Source organism: Homo sapiens, chromosome 11 (genome assembly GCF_000001405.40).
Source record: "Homo sapiens chromosome 11, GRCh38.p14 Primary Assembly".
NCBI lineage: Eukaryota > Metazoa > Chordata > Mammalia > Primates > Hominidae > Homo > Homo sapiens.
Window position 1 is genome coordinate 105,500,835 of NC_000011.10, and position 19,418 is coordinate 105,520,252.

At 35.2% G+C, this 19,418-nt stretch overlaps 1 long non-coding RNA gene across 8 annotated transcripts in view; it reads right to left on the reverse strand.

Annotated features, from left to right (window-relative positions):
- Window positions 1-19,418, reverse strand: part of LOC105369468 (uncharacterized) — a 383,452-nt gene that overhangs the window by 342,919 nt on the left and 21,115 nt on the right. For 2 of the 8 annotated variants that reach the window (XR_007062871.1, XR_001748360.1), the window contains exon 1: window positions 14,648-15,163. The exons of the other annotated variants lie outside the window; for them this stretch is intronic. This is a non-coding gene — a long non-coding RNA (uncharacterized LOC105369468). Of the gene's footprint in view, window positions 1-14,647; window positions 15,164-19,418 lie in introns of those variants that run through there. 8 annotated transcript variants of the gene reach the window in all.

The following is a 19,418-nucleotide window of genomic DNA, read 5'->3' on the forward strand; positions in this document are numbered from 1 at the left end:
AACTTGACAGTGATTCTTGAAAACAGATAAGCGACACATTCTACTTTGTTTATCTTCAGTATTTTATTGGCTATTCTAGGACTTTGCCTTCCTATATAAATTTAGAATCAGTATTTTGATACCTATAAAATGGTTTGCTGGGGTTTTCATAAAAGTTGCACTGAAACTATAGATCAAGTTAAGACGAATTGCGATTTTAATGATAGGGATTCTTCCAATCCATGAACACAGAATCTCTCTCCATTTATTTCAATCTTCTTTAATTTCTTTCATCAGAGTTCTATACTTTTTTGTAAATAATCTGTTCATATTTTGCTCAATTTATACATTAGTATATCATCTTTGGTGCTATTTAATTTTTTTAATTTCAAATTTCAATTGTTTGGTGCTGATATATAGGAAATCAGTTGACTTTGATGTGTTGTTAACTTTGTGGCCTGCTACTTTGCTATAGTCACCAGTTTCTAGATTTTTTCTGTCAATTCTTTGGGATTTTTTTTTTTTTACATAGACATAGACATTTACATAGACATTTACATAGACAGTCATATCATCTACAACTAAAGAGCTGTATTTCTTCCTTACAATGTGTATACTTTAAATTGTGTACTTCTTATTTTCCTTTTTGTATTATTGACTATCTAGGACTTTTAATATGATGTTAAACATAATGGCATGAGAGGGGACATCCTTGTCTTATTGATAATTTTATTGAGAAAGTGTCCATTATCTCATCATAAAGTATGATGCTATTTGTAGGATTTTGTCAATGTTCTTTACCAAATTGCAGAAGTTTCCATCTGTTTCAAGTTTGCTAAAGTTTTTATTATGCGTTGAGTGTTGGATTTTGTGAAATGCTTTTTAAATCCATATATATAGAGAGAGAGCAATAATTTTAAGTCATATTTTTCTACTATAAGCTTATGTCATTTCAAAATCAAATTAGATTGGCTTTGATGATATTTCACATCTGTTGACCTCTTATGTGCCAAACTGTTCAATGTAGTTTATACTACATTTAATATTTCCAACATATCTGTATTTCCCATTTTATTGATAAAATATGAGACCCACAGAAGTTAAATAAATTCTTTTTCCCCTTTTACATTTTCTACATCTATATTCATTTCATGTTCTAGTTCATCATACCCCATGGCTTAATATGGCTAATGACTCCCAAATTTGTATTTGTAACTTCAGTCTGTTCTCTCAGATTCAGTCTCATATGTAACGTCAATAATCATACTCAACATTTCTACTTGACAGCCCCCAAAGTACCTTGAACTGAACAAGTGCAAAAGGGAACTTCAGACGCCCTTCTTTGTTATTCATCCAGTTTCGCTCTTTTCCCAGTCTTTTTAAAAGGTGGTACTATTGTTCAGAAATTTGCACAGAATCAAAGGACTTTCCTTAATTTTTATCCTTTGCTTGTGTTCTACACCCAATCCATCTGAAAGTATGTCCACCTCTGCCTTCAGAATATGTCCCAAGTGTGATCATTTCTCATTATCTCAATAGCTTTTTTTAGAACAAGCTGTAATCACCTCTTGCCTTGACTACTGTGAAAGAATATTACCTTTTTTCTCAGATTTCAAATTTGCTTACTAAAGTCTATTCTCTGCACACCAAATAGAGTGACCTACCTCAAGTATGAATCAGAACACATCATTTAAAACAACCCATTGGTTTCACATCAACTTAGCAATCAACATTGTGGCATGACCTACTGTCGCCTGCATACTTCTTCAGTTCTTCTACACACATGACAGACTATTCTGATTTTGAGTATTTACATGTACTGGCTTCTTTGTGTGGACTGCTCTTCTCCAAAATTTTTGGTATGGCTTGTCCTTGTACTTCGTATAGGTGTGTGCTAAAATGTCATTCTTCAGGAAGGTTTCCCATGATTATATTATACGCAAACACTGGTACTGACTTTGATTGCATTTTTCAATTTTTCGTAGTGCTTTCACTACCTGAAGTATCACATATGTTAATACTTTGATGCTATATGTTGTGCATTTCAGGGCTTATAATAATAAACCCTGAGAAGGCAGGAGCATTGTCTGTCTTGTACAATATGTATCTCTAGTACCCTATAGCAGGTGTTTAGCAAATATTTGTTGAATAAAAAAATTGCTGCCTATAAATGGTAGAACTTGGATATAAAATCAGATCATCCTGACCCTTCAACAAGTACTAATGTATTTCATCTATGGAAAGAAGTTTGCTGAAATTCTATCAGTTTCAAGTAGTTCTAATTATAAACAAAATCACCTATAAACAAGTTAGAACTGCATTATATTCCTCCCCACCTAGCATCCTTGCATCCAATTTCTTAGAAAGCACATTTTCTCCCTATATCAAGCATCTTTTTCTCTCCCAGTTTTACTTTTGCATTGATAACCTTAAGACTCTCCAAAAGCTGTCTTTTCCTCACTGTTCTTCTACTTATTCTAATTATCATTAAGCATGCCTTAATTTTACCAATATTCTAAAAAGAAAGGCTCCCTAGTGCCTTAGTCCCTTCTGTGCTACTATGAAAGAATAGCTGAGACTGGGTAACTTATAAAGAATAACAATGTATTAGCTGACAGTTCTGGAAACTGGGAAGTACAACATCAAGGGTCCAGTGTCTGGTTAGGGCCTTTTTGCTACATCACCTCATGACAGAAGGTGAAAGAGCAGGAGAGAGCAAGAGGGGACTGGCCTTGACCTTTTATAATGGCATCAATCACACCTGTGAGCTCTCACCCACAGCAGCTCTCATACGTTGAAGTCTTGTGCTTGCAGCACAAGATTCTGGGGTCTCTGGGGCAGCCTCACTCCATTGGATTCAGATGATGGATTAATATTTAGTCAGGGAAGTGACAACTGTGTTTAAGGGATGAAAATAGTAGATCAGTTAATCTTGAATAATGTGGATATATACGAAATATTTATTTTATTTAGGCTGCTCACCATTTATTGTTGTGTTTTGTTAAGAGTATTGATGTTTTCTTGGTATTAAATTGTTTAATAGTAGATATTATTTGCAAAATTTGTATAATTGTAAATCAAATTGCCCTGCACTTTCCTCATCAAACTGTGGGTTCCACTGTTATTCATAACTAGTTAGTGACTCTAACTAAACCAAGTGGACTGTAGCTTGTACCTAAGATAGGCTTTTAACACTTACAAGAAGTTATTTAAGGAAAGTAGCAATAAGTACATGTTTATTCCAGCAACAAAGCCTTGGCAAATAGTTCTTGTTAGATAGATTGGAACCATAACAAGAATCCTGAATGCATATTAGTGTCTAGCTGTTATAATTCAGTAGCTAGAAAGAAATATTGTTTTATTATTTTATGAATCAATCATTATATTTAGAAGATTGAAAAGCAGTGAATCATACAGATAAAAGATTAAATAAGCAAACATGGGCAACTGAAGTAACAAAAAGTGGGCCCGATAGACCTGGAAATATTACCTAACAGAATTTGATGAACTGATTCAACGTTTCAGAAGTGGGGAGATATCATAGATAACACTGAATTAATGTGTTTATTTTTTTCACATTCAATTTTTTCTTTCCTCTCTCTACATAGCATTGTTAATCACATATCTTAAACATTCGATCATAAATTATTCAAAGACTAACAATAGAAGAGAGAATAGTATAATGAGTTATTTGAATATCTCAAACCTGACAAAAATAAATGAATCTTGATCTCTACCTCACACTACACTCAAAAACCAAATCCACATGAATAGTATATCTAAAAATGTTTCCAGAAGATGACGTAAGAAAACATCTTCTTGACTTATAATGTAAAAATGTCTTAAATGAATATAAAAGCCACTAACAGAATAACAGTTAAATAAAAGACTTCATTTAAATTCAGAATTTCTGTTCATTAAAAAATGTCATTAAAAGAGTACAAAGGCAAGCAATGAAGCAGACAATAATATTTGCAGAATAAATTTATAAAGTTATGGAGGTTGTAACTAAAGGTAATTGTACACATAGCCTGTGACTCAATAATTCTAATTTAAAGCTGCAGCTAAAATAAATATATATATACATATATATGTTTGACATGCACAAGAATATTTATATAAGCACTATTTGTAATAGTTAAAAATTGGAAACAACCAAAATGTTATTTAATGTATTCAATGTAGAATAGACTAATTATATTTTGCTATACTCATACAATGAAGTAGCATACAACAAAGAAAACTGAAAAATTACTGCTCTTTACAAAATCATAGATACATATTTAAAAAACTAAGAAACAAAACACAAAAGAGTACATACCAAATTACTTCACTTATCTATAGAACAAAAACAAGTGAAAAATACACTGTAGTGAAAGAAGTCAGAACACTGGTCACATAAGGCGGCAAAATGACTGGGAGGGATGGTGGATGTTTCTGAATGATTTGCAATATGATTTCTTTTGGTCAGTTCGTGGTTATCTGAGTATGCTCAGTTATTATTTTACACTTTTCTGCCTGATACATGGTTCAATAAAATAAATATTTACTTACAGAGAAGATGGCAGTGGTTCCATAGTTGAGTGTGGGTTTTTAATTTCTGTGAATCCTCACATACAGATAGAGAAAATAGAAAACAAAAGCAGAATCCCTCAAAGTTTAAAACAAAACCAGGTGAGAAGGCATCTCATACTATGAATGTCAAAATATAAATGGGAGGTGACAAATAACCAACTTACTGATATAAGACCTGTGTGATGTCAACTCTTTCTAGAAGAAAGTAGAAGAAAGCGACAGAGTGTCTTTCTGTTCATTTACCAATTTTCATAATAATAGTTGATATATTATGGATATGTTTTTGCTCATCTTTCTGAAACTTTCATCTATAAAATGTCTCCATAATTCACAATTTAGCAAAAATGTTTAAAATCTGAGAAAGAAACAATGACATAATTTACTGCAAATGTAATTCTCCTTGCTCTTGTTATTCAGGGGTTGATGTCTAGACAACGAATGTCTTAGTTCTATTAGATGCATTCTTAGAAAAAATGCTCATAGTAGGACTGATTGGATGCCTTTGCTTTCAGATATTAATTAGCATTTGTTGAGGGGAAACCAAAACACAGGGAATTTGCATGGGCATTCTCAAGGCCCTTCCTCAAGGCACTTCCAAATTCTACTCACGCCTTGTTCCAAAGCCAATGCCATACTTTTGAAGTTTTGCCGTGGCAGTACCTGACTCATAGATACCAATGATTTTCTATTTCATTTTGCTATTGTTGCATGAAAAAAAACTCAAAATTATCTTAGAGAAGTAATTTTTTTCTGTGTCCCTTGATTGAAATTCATACAAGACAGCAAGGTTAGCTTTTCTCTGCTCTAAAATATCTGGGAGCTAAGCTGGAAGACTCAGTGACTGGAAGCAACTCAACGATTGAAAACCTGGGTTATGTGAAGGTGAGGTGGATCATAGAAAGGCATCTGCATTGTGATTTTATGACCTAGCCTAGGAATTACTAAGCGTGACTCCTGGTGCATTCCATTAGTTACAAGAGAATCACTAACATCAGCCCAGATTCAGGAGAGGAGACATTGATCTCCATGTCTCAATTGGGAGGAGTAATAAATAATTTGTACACATTTATAAAACCTCCACAATAATTTTAATAGGTTTTTTTGGAGTGAAAATACAAATACCTTCACTCCATCATATTAACTAGAGCTCTTACTGGTTTTCTCTCTTCTCTTAAAATAGTTCATTTTCAATTACAAAAATAATAAATACTCAGATTTGAGAACATATAGAAAAATACGGAAAAGAAAATCACTGATTCTTATAACCTTGGGTGCATAAAAGTAGGTGTAAATTGTTTTCTTTTAAAAAAAAAAAATCATAAAACAGTTGTCTTTCAGTATCCAAGGGGGTGGAGGCAGGTTTTGGTTGCAGAATCCCCTGCAGATACCAAAATCCGTGGATACTTAGATCCCTTCTATAAAATGGTATTGTATTTGTATATAAACCACACACATTCTCCCGTATAAGTTAAATCATCTTCAGGTTACTTATAATACCTAACACAATGTGATATGTAAATAGTTGTTATACTGTACTGTTTAGGGGAAAATGATGGGGGAAAAAATAGTCTGCATATGTTCAGTACGAACAACCATCCATTTATTTTTTCCCAAATATTTTCAATTCACTGTTGGTTGAATCCATGGATGTGGAATCCATTGTTGTGCAACCCACAAATACAAGGGGCCAACTGTACTTTATAGCTATAATTATCCTTTAGAAATTTCATTTTGCTTTTGCCATTTAATATTACTCTACTAGCTTTGTAAATACCACAACAAAGTTTCCAGGTGCAACATTGAGGTGGTGCTTAAAGGACCTTCTATTTATTGAATAATCCAGAAATTTAGGTTATTTGCATTTCTGATGCATAAATAATGCTGTTTTCCCAAATGTATTTTACTAACTCAAAGTTTCGGTTCAATTTTTTTTTCTGTTATGTAAAATTGTGTTTTACGTAGTTACTTTATTGATATGTTGCTGATCACTTTGACTAATTTTAAACTAGAAAACCTTCCTGTATCAAAGGGTTTAATAAATATTAATTTATATTTTCTTTATTTTTCAATTGTTTTTTTCTGTATTGAACTTTTTTTTTTTTTTTTTTTTTTGCTGTGGAGTCTCGCTTTGTTGCCCTGGATGGAGTGCAGTGCCACAATCTTGGCTCACTGAAACTTCCACCTCCAGGATTCAAGCAATTCTCCTGCCTCAGCCTCCTGTGTAGCTGGGATTACAGGCATGCACCACCACGCCTGGCTATTTTTTTGTATTTTTGTGGAGACGGGATTTCACCATGTTGGTCAAACTGGTCTGGAACTCCTGACCTCAGGTGATCTTCTCAACTTGGCCTCCCAAAGTACTGGGATTATAGGTGTAAGCCACTGCACCCAGTCATGAACTTTTAATCCAACCAAAATTTTAGTAAAGTCTGAGGTAAGACACTCAATATTCATTGATTTTTGAATTTACCTAGAAATATACATTATTCTGAATATCCCCAACATAAAATACCACATTTAAATATTTGACGTTTTTATTTTTTCTGAGAAAGAAAAATAATAACTATTTCTTCAGTCAGGAGGACTTTGGTTTATTGCCAGAAAGTATTTCTGTCATTTATCTTATCTTTTATTTTAAAAAGGAAGCCATAAATCATCTTGGCAGTCAATCATTAGTCTGACATCAAAAAGGAATCCGAAGAGGGTTGTCTATTGTTGTTTCAGTTAACAGAGTGCTGCTTAATAAGTTTTGATCCCAAAGTAATGAGATTGCATGAACAATTATAAATGTAGGTACTGGGATGCCTAAAAGGAAACCATTACTTTATTTCCAAGCTACTAGAAATTATTCAAACTCCTATATCTATCAAGGAATATAGTAACCTTAATTATTTTCTTGCAAGGAGGTGAGAAGGGAGCAGAAGTGTACCTCTTAGGGCTTGGACTGGGTTAAAAAAAAAGTATGAAAAATCTAAAAATAAAGTGAGCACCCAAATACCTTGTTCCACGTACATCTGGGCTCTGCAAACGGATTTGTATCATTTCAGGATATCTCTTCCCCTTAAGAATTTTATCAGCTAGGTTAGTTTAAAAGAGATGGCTTTTCATGAAGATGAGAAGTATATGTTTAACCCAAAAGTATATGTTTCAATAAACCTTTGTTTTTGTTTTTACATTTTCTTTATATCTAAATCATGGGATATGGTATTTGAAGAATTGGTTCTATAGGGATGCTAGGGGAAGTCTTGCCAGTTTGTGCTTGGGGAAAGATGGTATGTTTTAGAAACAAATAATTATGCATATATTAAAACTTTTTTGATGGAATGTTCTTTAGTAAGTCTAACTAAAGCATGAATAACTGCAAGATTATGTTTCAGTGTTGGCCATTGTTATCTGAAAGGATAAGCAATTACTTCTTTTTCTAAAGCACCCAGGCTGACATAGCTGAGATATTATTTGAGATATATAATAAAGAGCCACAGTTCTGACCCTATAAGCTCCAGAAAAATGTATTTCAAAAGGGTAGTTCTTCCTCTTGAGAGGGAACATTTTATTTTTCTATTAATTAAGGAAAAGTGATTTTGAGATGATTTTTTAAAATCTATGATAGATACTAAAACAAGAAACTAAGGCTAAATGTGCAAATCTATCTGATATTCTAAACCTGTAAAAATAACAGCCCCAGAGTACTGTTAATTTTAAGGCATAGTATACGTTTGTAAGGGGGTCTATAGTTAGAGTCATGTAAGTAAAGTCAAGTCCTGGGTGTGAAATTCATTTCATTCTATGAGATCATTGTTGGAAATCCTGTATCAGAAAAAATTACACTAAATTGCATTCATACATATGCCCACAAAATTGATTGCATTCCATCAGACCCACCCCTAATATTTGCAGAGATTGTGACAATACAAATAAAGCCCTCAAACCATATGTCAAAATACGTAAAATTTATAAATCAATTCTTCAAATTGCTGAAACGTCTGAAAAACTCATTAAACAAACTATGTTCTAACCTCCTCCCCTGATAAGCATAACTGTTTAATGATCTGCCACATGTTGGGACAGGGAGAATCAGCCACACCAGCCCCTGGGCCCTGGATCTGCATATCCCCACCCTTCTTTTCCTACCCTGGCTCTATCCTTCATCACAAGGGACTTCGAATCCACATGTGTAGATATTCTAAAACACATCAGTTTCATCAGTTTTCCTTAAGGGCCACCGTTTGGCCCCTCTGTAAGCTTGTTGAGTACAGTGGTCATGCAGTCTACCTTCAGGAGGACAATCCAGGAAATGTCTTAAACATGTTCTAGAAGCTTCCTTGTTACAATTAGTTGTCCTTAAATTGTTTTAAAAATATATTTGAATAATTTCCCCATAGATATACACACCACAATGATTACCGGCAGTTATCTTCCTAAGCATTGCATTGAGGATTGCAATTTTTATTTATAAGCCTTTCTTATGTGTTAATTAATAATTGGACCATTTATTTGAGGGTTAAGAGAGCAAAGAAGTGACAACTTGGAAGTTTTAGTTTTATCGAAACACAATTATATTCAGTTTTATTTATTTTACATAAACCAAATTTATTTTACAACAAAACCAAATTGTTTTGTTATGAAACAATTTATTATTAAATGTAAACAACTCACTCTTTTCTTCATGCATTGAAATTACCTGAAGTTTAGAGTGCTTTTCCCCTGTCCATAACTAGGATAGCATTTCAGTACTTTAATTTGACAGCTCAGAGAATTGTGTTGGGTCATTACCAGGGAGCTATTTTCTTTGTCATTACTGTGCTCGACTGATACATATTAGCTTTCAGGACTGATTAATCCTTTCTGTCTTTCCCTCACTTCAGAGCCAGGGCTAATGTTCTGCCCAAATTCTAAGTCCCAGAACAGAAAGCATGTTTGACCCAGCTTGAGCAAAATACACAATCCTATTAAATCAGATGGGGTCAGGGTTGCAGGTTTACAAAGAAGTATAGATAAAGAGGTGGATGGACGAATGGATGGATGGATGGACAGAAGGATGGGAAGGATGGACAGATGGATAGACCCAGGGAAGAATAGATAGATGGAAGAATGAGTCTGTAAGGGTCTCTTTCTTGTTGGCGATAGTATTTCTTAGGAAAAAGAGTACTTGTGTCACTAGAGTAGATAGGCGATGATGTTGAAGCAAGTAATTACCTATGATTCTGTTCCCTAGTATTCTCTTTCAGGACTGATTTTCTACTTTGTACTGACTGTGAACTGTGTGCAATAAATCTTTAAAACTTTTGCATTTTTAGTTAATTCTGTTTAAATAAATATTTGCTGATCATTTGTTACATGCTTAGCACTATGTAACTAAAATATTTAACAAAAAACATTAAATTTAAACATTTTAATTTTACTGAAAGAATTATCTATAACCAAATATAGATCCTGTAGAAGATATTATACAACCATAAAAATTCTTACAATATTTTATTGAGCAAAAAAAAAACAAGAAAAACATTTCATCAAAACAAAGTAAAATAATAAAAACGGCCTGGTCATAGGATAATTGTTAAATATAAATTAACTCCATCCTTCAGAGAACTATTTGCCATAGGTGCTATCATTATTATTACTGTTCTCCCCTTCTTACGGATGAGGAAGCTGAGACAAAGTGCTTATTAAAAAACTAGTCTCCAAACAGAAAATTAAGGAGAGATTTTAACCCAGGCAATTTTTCATCATAGCTCATCTCAAGAACAATTTACAAAATTCATTCTAGTATATATAAAATAAAATTTAAAATGCAGCACCAAAAGGTTGAGACAATTACTTAGACAAAAAATGAAAAAGAATTCAAAGTATTTCTTACTCTAAAGGCAAAAAGGAATCTCAGATGAATTAAAAAGTTAAATACATGAAAATCAATTCATAAATGTATATGTATTTACATATGTATTTATATATTTATATATATAGTTCATCAATTTATATATATTTACTAGTCTATATTTCTCATATATAAAAATATATGAAAATAAGACCAAAAATATACATATATGTAAACATGAAAATAAAACCATAAACAGATGTAATGAATGATGAATGTAACAGATGTAATTTTTTATATATATATATATATAAAATGATCAAATTAGTGAAGAAGGTAAAGTCTAAGTTTCCAAGCAATGGAAAATATTTTTAAAAAATAACTAGATTAACATATTTCACTGTTTTAAACAACTAAAATTATTTGCTATTTATTATACAAATTATGCTAAAACGAGTAAAGACAATTAAGAATATATTTGCAGTAACTGGAGAAAATCAAAAAGTATTACCACATAAAGAATTTTTAAGGGTTCAATTCATTGGCTCAAAGGATTAATATTTTATAAAAGAAGGAAGAGAGAGAGTGTACAAGCTACTAAGAGAAATGCAAAGATTCCAATATGTAAATGAACAACAGGAATACCTTCATAAATAAATTTGAAAATGTAGAAAGTATGTGTTCTCTTTGGTAATATCAGCATTATAAATTTGAAATATTAATATCTTATTTTGAACATTTTCATTAGCAAATACTTTTGGGGAGACACTAAAATGGTACTAACAGCAAAACAAAAATGCTACTCTCATACATTGATGATAGGAGTAAAAATTTAATATCACATATTATTAGTTGTCTTAATATCTATAGACTATGATATAGAATTTTTCATTTGTGAGAACAGTCTCTGATTATGAAAAACTGAAAATAATTTAGATTTTCAATCTTTAGTGGAATGTTAGGAATCTACATTCAGAGGAATATTAGACATTTCATTCTCTCTATATATAATGTACAGAATGTCTTTATGAAATGTAGAGAATGTATTATAATATCAAGTGAAAAATACAGGACATGATATATGTTTAGAAAAAAATTTTTTTTATAATATGTCAATCATTATTGATCTATATAGATGTAGATGTAAATATGTGTCGTGTGTGTGTTAGTGTGTGTGTGTGTGTGTGTGTGCAGAGAGAAAGACTAAAATGAAATTTACCGAAACACCCAATAATTTGGGTGAGTTACCATTTCTTTTTATTTTCCAAAATATCTTTATGAAGCATGAATTACTTTTAAAGTAGTTTAAAAGTGAATCATGAATTATTTTTTAAAGGAAGAAAAAAGTTCATAACACAACAGCAAAAGCATATGAATAAAGTAATATTAATTATCAAAAATTCATCTTAATAAAAAATAAGAATTAAAAATATATGCCTTTATTTTCTATAACACTTTGCTACTCATATGAAATATTTCATGGAGACCAATAGAACTATGGGTATTGGGAAAAGCCCAGCATAAACATCATTTAGAAATGTGTGGCACGATCTCAGCTCACTTCAACCTCCACCTCCTGGGTTCAAGCAATTCTCCTGCCTCCGCCTCCTGAGTAGCTGGGATTAGATGCAAATATGACCATGCTCGACTAATTTTTTCTGTATTTTTGTGGAGATGGGGTTTCACCATGTTGGCCAGGCTGGTCTCGAACTGCTGACCTCAGGTGATCTGCCTGCCTCAGCCTCTCAAAGTGCTGGGATTACAGGCGTGAGCCACTGAGCCTGGCCTCCAGGAAGTTTTAAAATAATATTTTTCTGTCTTTCAAAGACTTTAGTGAACCTCCTTTTCCTTGTCTTTGCCCATTTCTAATCAAAATTATCTTCTTATTCTCATTAATTTTATGAAATTATTTTATTGACAAATAGCCTCATCCATCACCTCCATAACCATGAATTTCAGTGTCATAAGCTATAGCCAAGACTAACATACCTTTCTGATTGAATTCATGAAAGTCTGCTTTGCCACACTAATACCGTGAAAGCTGAACTTTTCTCTTCTTTTTTTATTATGTTATGTGGTCCTTTTTATTTCTTAGGTATAAATATGTTAAATAGTTTAAAGTCTAAGAAAACACACATGATTGAAGTTATTTTATACCATGTAAACTACTATAAATACATCTTAATGATATTTTTAATTTCTTTACTGGCATTGTAATTGGCAATGCATTAGGTGCTAAAACACAAATTTTTTAAAAAAGTTTCCATTCTCATGTTGATATCACTGACATTTTTTTTTTTTTTAGGATGGAGTCTCACTCTGTTGCCCAGGCTGGAGTCCAATGGCCCGATCTCGGCTCACTGCAACATCTGCCTCCCAGCTTCTAGTGATTCTCCCACCTCAGCTTCCAGAGAAGCTGGGATTATGGGTGCCACACCTGGCTAATTTTTACATTTTTGGTAGAGACTAATTTTTTTTATTTTAGTAGAGACTGGGTTTCACCATGTTGGACAGGCTGGTCTTGAACTCCTGACCCATGATCCGCCCACCTTGGCCCTCCCAAAGTGCTGGGATTACAGGTGTGAGCCACCATGCCCAGCCAATAATTCTTAAGTTTTAAATATATTGTCCCAAATAAAAAACTAATACTCTAGAATTTGCCACAATTTTTCAGCAAAAACTATATTGATTTGACTCTACTTCCATTGGCTTTAAAATATGATGAATAAAACTAATCTTAGTCATACTATATGTTAAGAGCAAAATTACACACTATTTTTATTTAATGTAGAGGTCTGAGCTCCTTCTAAACATCAGTATTAACTGAGATATAAAACATAGAAGGAAAAAAGGAAGAGAGAAGAGTGTTGAGAATATCGTTTTCCATTTGAACTCATCAAGCTTGAAGTTCATGTTGGCTAAGTAAAAATGAGAAGTACAGTGAAATGAGTCTGGAGCTCAGAAACTGATTTAGACTGGATATATAAGCTGAAAGATAATGGTTAGACCCAGGATAAGGATGACAGTGCGTAACATTTCCAAAGACCTGAAGATGAATCTTTGAAGAATGCCACATCATAGAAGGATGACAGAGAACTGTCAGTAAAGAAAAAGATGGAGTGATCTTTCAGGTGGATGGGGCACCAAAGGTTGGATGTCACATCGGCCAAAGAAAGTGAGAATTCACGGGAGAATGTCTCATAGTGTGTCAAGTATCAGAGGAGTCAAAGTAATATAGGAATTGGAAATTTTCCATTGCGTTTAATATTAGGACATCATCAACAACATTCTAATAATTTAAATCAATGACAGAGGAAAAAAAAAAGACTACAATGGATTGAGGAAGGAATGGAGGAAATTGTAAAAAAATTGAGCCGACAAAGACCCAGATACATCACTGAAGAATAATATGGTGCTACGTAGAAAGAAACACTGATTGGAAGGAGGGTTTTCCCCTCCCTTATCAGTAGTATTAATAGAAACTAGAAATAGGGCCCTTTCTATGTTCCCTGATAAAGAAGCCACTAGAATAAAGAGAAAGTGGATAATTGATGGTACAAGGCTCCAGAGCCTCCTGCACTAGAGCATATATGTTTAGTAAAAGTTACTACTTTCCTAGAGGCTGGCATCAGATAAATACCTAAGATTATACTGTAATACCAACTAAGCACACAATTTTACACATGCTTGTTCCCTGCTTATTCAAAAAGAAACATTATTACACATAAGAACACATCTAAAGTTTTGACAACAAAAAAATTTTTGCTGTTAGAATATGTAGAACAAACTTTGTCTGTTAGAATATATTGCAAAATATTTAATGGACAGAAATAATTTACAAGTAAGCATTACTTTAGTAAAATAAGCCTAAGCCATACTAGAAAATGTTCATAATAAAATCTCTCCCTCGTATCTGAAATTCTTCACCAGACTGCTGCAAGCTATGTTATTTCTTCCATCTTTTATTTTAAATGTAGTGAGTTTAATTATCATATCTTTCTAGTATTCCCTTGCTTCTTAGCCTTCTGTAACTGATTGCTAATGTCTACAATAATGCCCCACTGGCTAAAGTAGCTCCCTTTTATTTCTCATGCTGATACCTATGCTTAAATCTTTAGTGTTAAGAAAAAAAATACAATAAACACATTTAATTCACTCAACAACTCAATGAGGGAGTGTGGTATATTGAATTATTGCTTCCATTAATTTCTTTCCTTCCAATAGGCAAAGCACAGTGTATCACCAACCTCAGACTTGCTGTTTGACGATATGACTTACTTGCAACAGTGGAGATTGTCTGCAGGTGTCAGCTGCCGATTGTGAGCAGAGGCTTTCAGAAGCAGTGCCCCAGAGCTTTGCTTGCCCTCCTGAGAACAGCATGCCCAACAGCGACCCCGCCTTCCGTCCATGTTCCGGAATGAGACAGTACATGGCACAGAGCCGAGCCCCGCCAATCTCAGATGAGCCCCGCCCAGTCACTGCCAGCCCACAGACCTACAATAGCAGGTCCTCTTTGCCACAGCCAAAGCTATCTAATGTCGATATATATTTAAACAGGAAAAAAAAATGCCTTACAGAGTTTAAAAGAATTAGTGGACCGGCCGGGCGCGGTGGCTCACGCCTCTAATCCCAGCACTTTGGGAGGCCAAGGCGGGCGGACGAAGAGGTCAGGAGATCGAGACCATCTTGGCGAACACGGTAAAACCCTGTCTCTACTAAAAATACAAAAAATTAGCCGGGCGTGGTGGCGGGCGCCTGTAGTCCCAGCTACTCAGGAGGCTGAGGCAGGAAAATGGCGTGAACCCGGGAGGCGGAGTTTGCAGTGAGCCGAGATCGCGCCACCGCACTGCAGCCTGGGAGACAGAGCGAAACTCCGTCTCAGAAAGAAAGAAAAAAAAGAATTAGTGGACCACTATTTACTAACTGTGTAACCCAAACTCAGACCTTCTGAATGTTAGACAAATTCTTTTTACATAACATCACAGTGAGTTCTTAACTAAAGAAGGGTAACTTCTTTAAGAAGTTATTCATATTTATACAAGGCAGGCATTTGCCCTTGAAAAGCTTTCTGTCTCCTCGGATCCACCAGGAATAGAAAATCTTTCTCGGCAGGGCGCAATGGCTCACGCCTGTAATCCCAGCACTTTGGGAGGCCGAGACGGGCGGATCACGAGGTCAGGAGATCGAGACCATCCTGGCTAACACGATGAAACTCCGTCTCTACTAAAAATACAAAAAAAATCAGCCGTGCGTGGTTGCGGGCGCCTGTAGTCCCAGCTACTCGGGAGGCTGAGGCAGGAGAATGGCGTGAATCCAGGAGGAGGAGCTTGCAGTGAGCCGAGATCCCGTCACTGCACTCCAGCCTGGGCGACAGAGCAAGACTCCGTCTCAAAAAAAAAAAAAAAAAAAAAAGAGAAAAATATTTCTCCATTTACTATTCTGCAAATATATTTACCTCTTGTGGTATGTAGTATAAATGCTTTACTTTCTCCATGTCTTTGTTTCATATATATGAAATACCTCTTATTTCTCCATATCAGTTGTTTTCTAGCTGGGAGATTTATTTCAATATAATTAACACGATCATAGCAGTAGTTATTAAATAGTCAACAATTTTGGATTTCATAGTGTCAATATTTCTACAGCCAGATATATGGTTCTTCTTAAATTGAGCTTGGAAAATACCTTTCTAACATAAAACCCAAAGTCTTGTTATGTACTAGAAGATCTGGAGTTTCCATTATATCATGTTGACCAAGAAAATGTCCATTAAAAAAAAAAAAGCAAGAAAATATAACATCTACAGGCTCAAAAATACCAGGCCAACTGAGACACCAAAGTGGCCTAGGATCATAAGATAATTATCACTGTTAAATAATCATTCAGTCATTGATTTTTTTACTTAGTTATTCATTTAATCCATCAAACATGTGCATTAGTTAGTTTGAGCTGCCATAACAAAATGCCATAAACTTGGTGGCTTCAACAAAAACAATTTATTTTCTGACAGTTCTAGAGGCTGCAAATCCAAGATCAGGGTGCCGGCGTGATTGGATTCTGTTAAAGGCTCTCTTCTGGCTTGCAGACAGCCACTTTCTCACTGTGTGTTTTCACATGGCAGAGAGAGAGCAAAAGGGAGAGGGAGAGGGAGAGGGAGAGGGGAGGGGGGAGGGGGGAGGGGGAGAGAGAGGGGGAGAGAGAGAGAGCACAATCTCTCTGATATCTCTTCTTATAAGGTCACTAATCCCATCATAAGGACTCCACCCTCATGACCTCATCTAAATCTAATTGTCTCCCAAAGGGCCCATCTCCTAAGACTATCACATTTCAGGTTAGGGCTTCCATATATGAAGAGGGGGCACACAATTCACTTCATAACAAACATGTATTGATCATCTATGTGCAGGATACTTTGCTAGGCACTGGAGTCCATTGGTAGAAGAGAATATCATGTTCCCTGCTCTCATGGAGCTGTTAGCCTAGTGTAGGGAATCTAGAAAGTAAAATAATACAGCTCCAAAGTAGTACTCTAGGGAAAACGTAGAGATTATGGGAACACATAAAAGAGGTATCTTTCCCAGATACCCAGAGTCAGCGAAGACTACCTTGATAAAGTGTCATGAAGCTGAAACTGACAAAGAGTATAGGTTTGCCAGGTGAAGGGGGAAGGAGCAAGGGCTGGATACAGGAAGAAAAATGGCACATGTTAATCCTTGAGTCAAGACAGAACTAAGTGCAATCAAGGATGTAAAATGTGGAGTAACTGATGAGCACTTTTTATTTTAATTACACATTTTGATAGGACAGGCAGGTGAGAGATGTTGGAGAGGTTAGTGAGGACCAGATCATTTAAGACTTTGTAAGCCCTGATTTACATACGAAGATCAAACTCAAAACATTTTTTTTTTTTGGAGACGGAGTCTCGCTCTGTTGCCCAGGCTAGAGTGCAGTGGCACAATCTCGGCTCACTGCAAGCTCCGCCTCTCCGGTTCACGCCATTCTCCTGCCTCAGCCTCCCCACTAGCTGGGACTACAGGCACCCGCCACCACGCCCGGCTAATTTTTTGTATTTTTAGTAGAAACGGGGTTTCACCGTGTTGGCCAGGATTGTCTCGATCTCCTGACCTAGTGATCCGCCCATCTCGGCCTCCCAAAATGCTGGGATTACAGGCGTGAGCCACCACACCCGGCCTCAGAACATTTTTAATGTCCTGGAGAAGAAAGATTTTGTAAAACCCATCCTATGGAGTGCCAAGGAAAATTTATTCCCTACGAAGGTAATGGAGAATGCAAAAAAATATGTAATTTTACAAAGTTTATAAACATAACTCATTTTGAAATTTTGCATTGATATGATAGCATCATAATTTTCTGTTTAGTAATCATATTTGAATTTAACACTGTGTGACAGCAGCACATGTATGTGACTATGTGTGTAATGGAGCAGACAAAAATAACAAAATTCTCCATTATAGCTACCAGTATCTCTAGTGCCACAATCAGACTGTTCTTCATTTACTGTGTCATTTTAAAACATTTACTGAAAATTTGCTATGAAGTTGGTTCCATGAAGCTGTAATCATCCTGTGAATAAAACAACCATCCCTGCCCTCATGGAGCTTACATTATAGGAGGAGAAGGCAGAGCAACAGTAAACATAATAAATAAGTAAACTATATAGTATGTTAGAAAATGATGAGTGCTTTGGAGAACAGAAATGGAAGTACCTGGATTCGAAGGAGGTGAAGGTAGCTTTATACAGAAAATAAAATTTGAGCAAAACTTGGAGGGAATTTGCCATGCAAATATCTGAAGAACATACGGCAGAAGAAAGAATATTCCAGGTATGGGAACCAATGCAAAGGTCTTAAGCAGAGAACATGCCTGATGTCATCCAAGTACTTGAAGAAGGTTGATGTGGCTAGATTGCAATGAATGAGAAGTAAAGAATAATAGAAGATGAAGTCCAAATGTAGAGAGGGAGTCATCTCAAGGAGGGCTCTGTAGGCTACTGAAGGCTTTGGCTTTCACCATGAATGAATGCAAAGCTATTGGAGGGTCTTCAAGTAGAGGAGCAGCATGATCTGATTTACAGTTAAAATTAGTCACTTTAGTTACTGTGGTAGGTAGAGTAATGATCCCTCCAACATGTCTACTTCCTAATCCCTGGAATCTGTAAATATATTTATTACCTTACATGGCAAAAGGGAATTTACAGAAGTGATTAAGGTTAAGGGCCTTGAGATGGATTATCTAAGTGAACCCAGTCTGATCACTTGAGTGACAAAGGTGGAAAGTGGAAGAGGGAGACCCAAGACTGAGTCAGAGAGATGTAACATATGAAAGATCCTCTCTGCCATTGCTGGCTATGAAGATGGTGGCAAAGGAATGTGGTGGCCTCTAGAAGCAGGGAATGACACTTAGTTTACAGCTAGCGAAACAACAGGGACCTTGGTTTTAGAGCCACAAAGAACTGAATTGTGAACAATTGGAATGAATAGGAAACTGATGCTCCCCTAGTGACTCCAGGAGATAACACAGACTGCCAACACCTTAATTTTAGTCCAGCAAGACCCGTTTCAGACTTCTGATTTGTAGAACTATACAATCATAAATGTGCATTGTTTTAAGCCACTCAGTCTCTGGTGATTTGTAAAAGCAGCAACAGAAAACTATTAATAATACAGTTACTGTGCAGAGAAAATGTTATGGAAAGTGAGGAGGAAGAGGGAAACAAAAAGAAGAGTTGGGAAGCTATTGCAGTAATCAGGTGAGGCATGAGCATTTGGATAAACGTAGCAGCCATGAATACAAAAAAGGACCCAATTCTGGCTATCTTCTGAAGGCAAAGCCAACACAATTCTTGGCAGACTGGACGTAGAGCATAAGGACATGTTAAAGATGGGCCTGAGATTTTTGACCTGAGTAATTGAAAGGATAGTATTTCCAGATGGGAAAGACTATGGGAGGAATAGGATTGTGGAGGAATTCAAGAGATCAATTTGGAGTGGATACTCTAGAGTAAGGAGTTGAATATGCAGTATGGGTT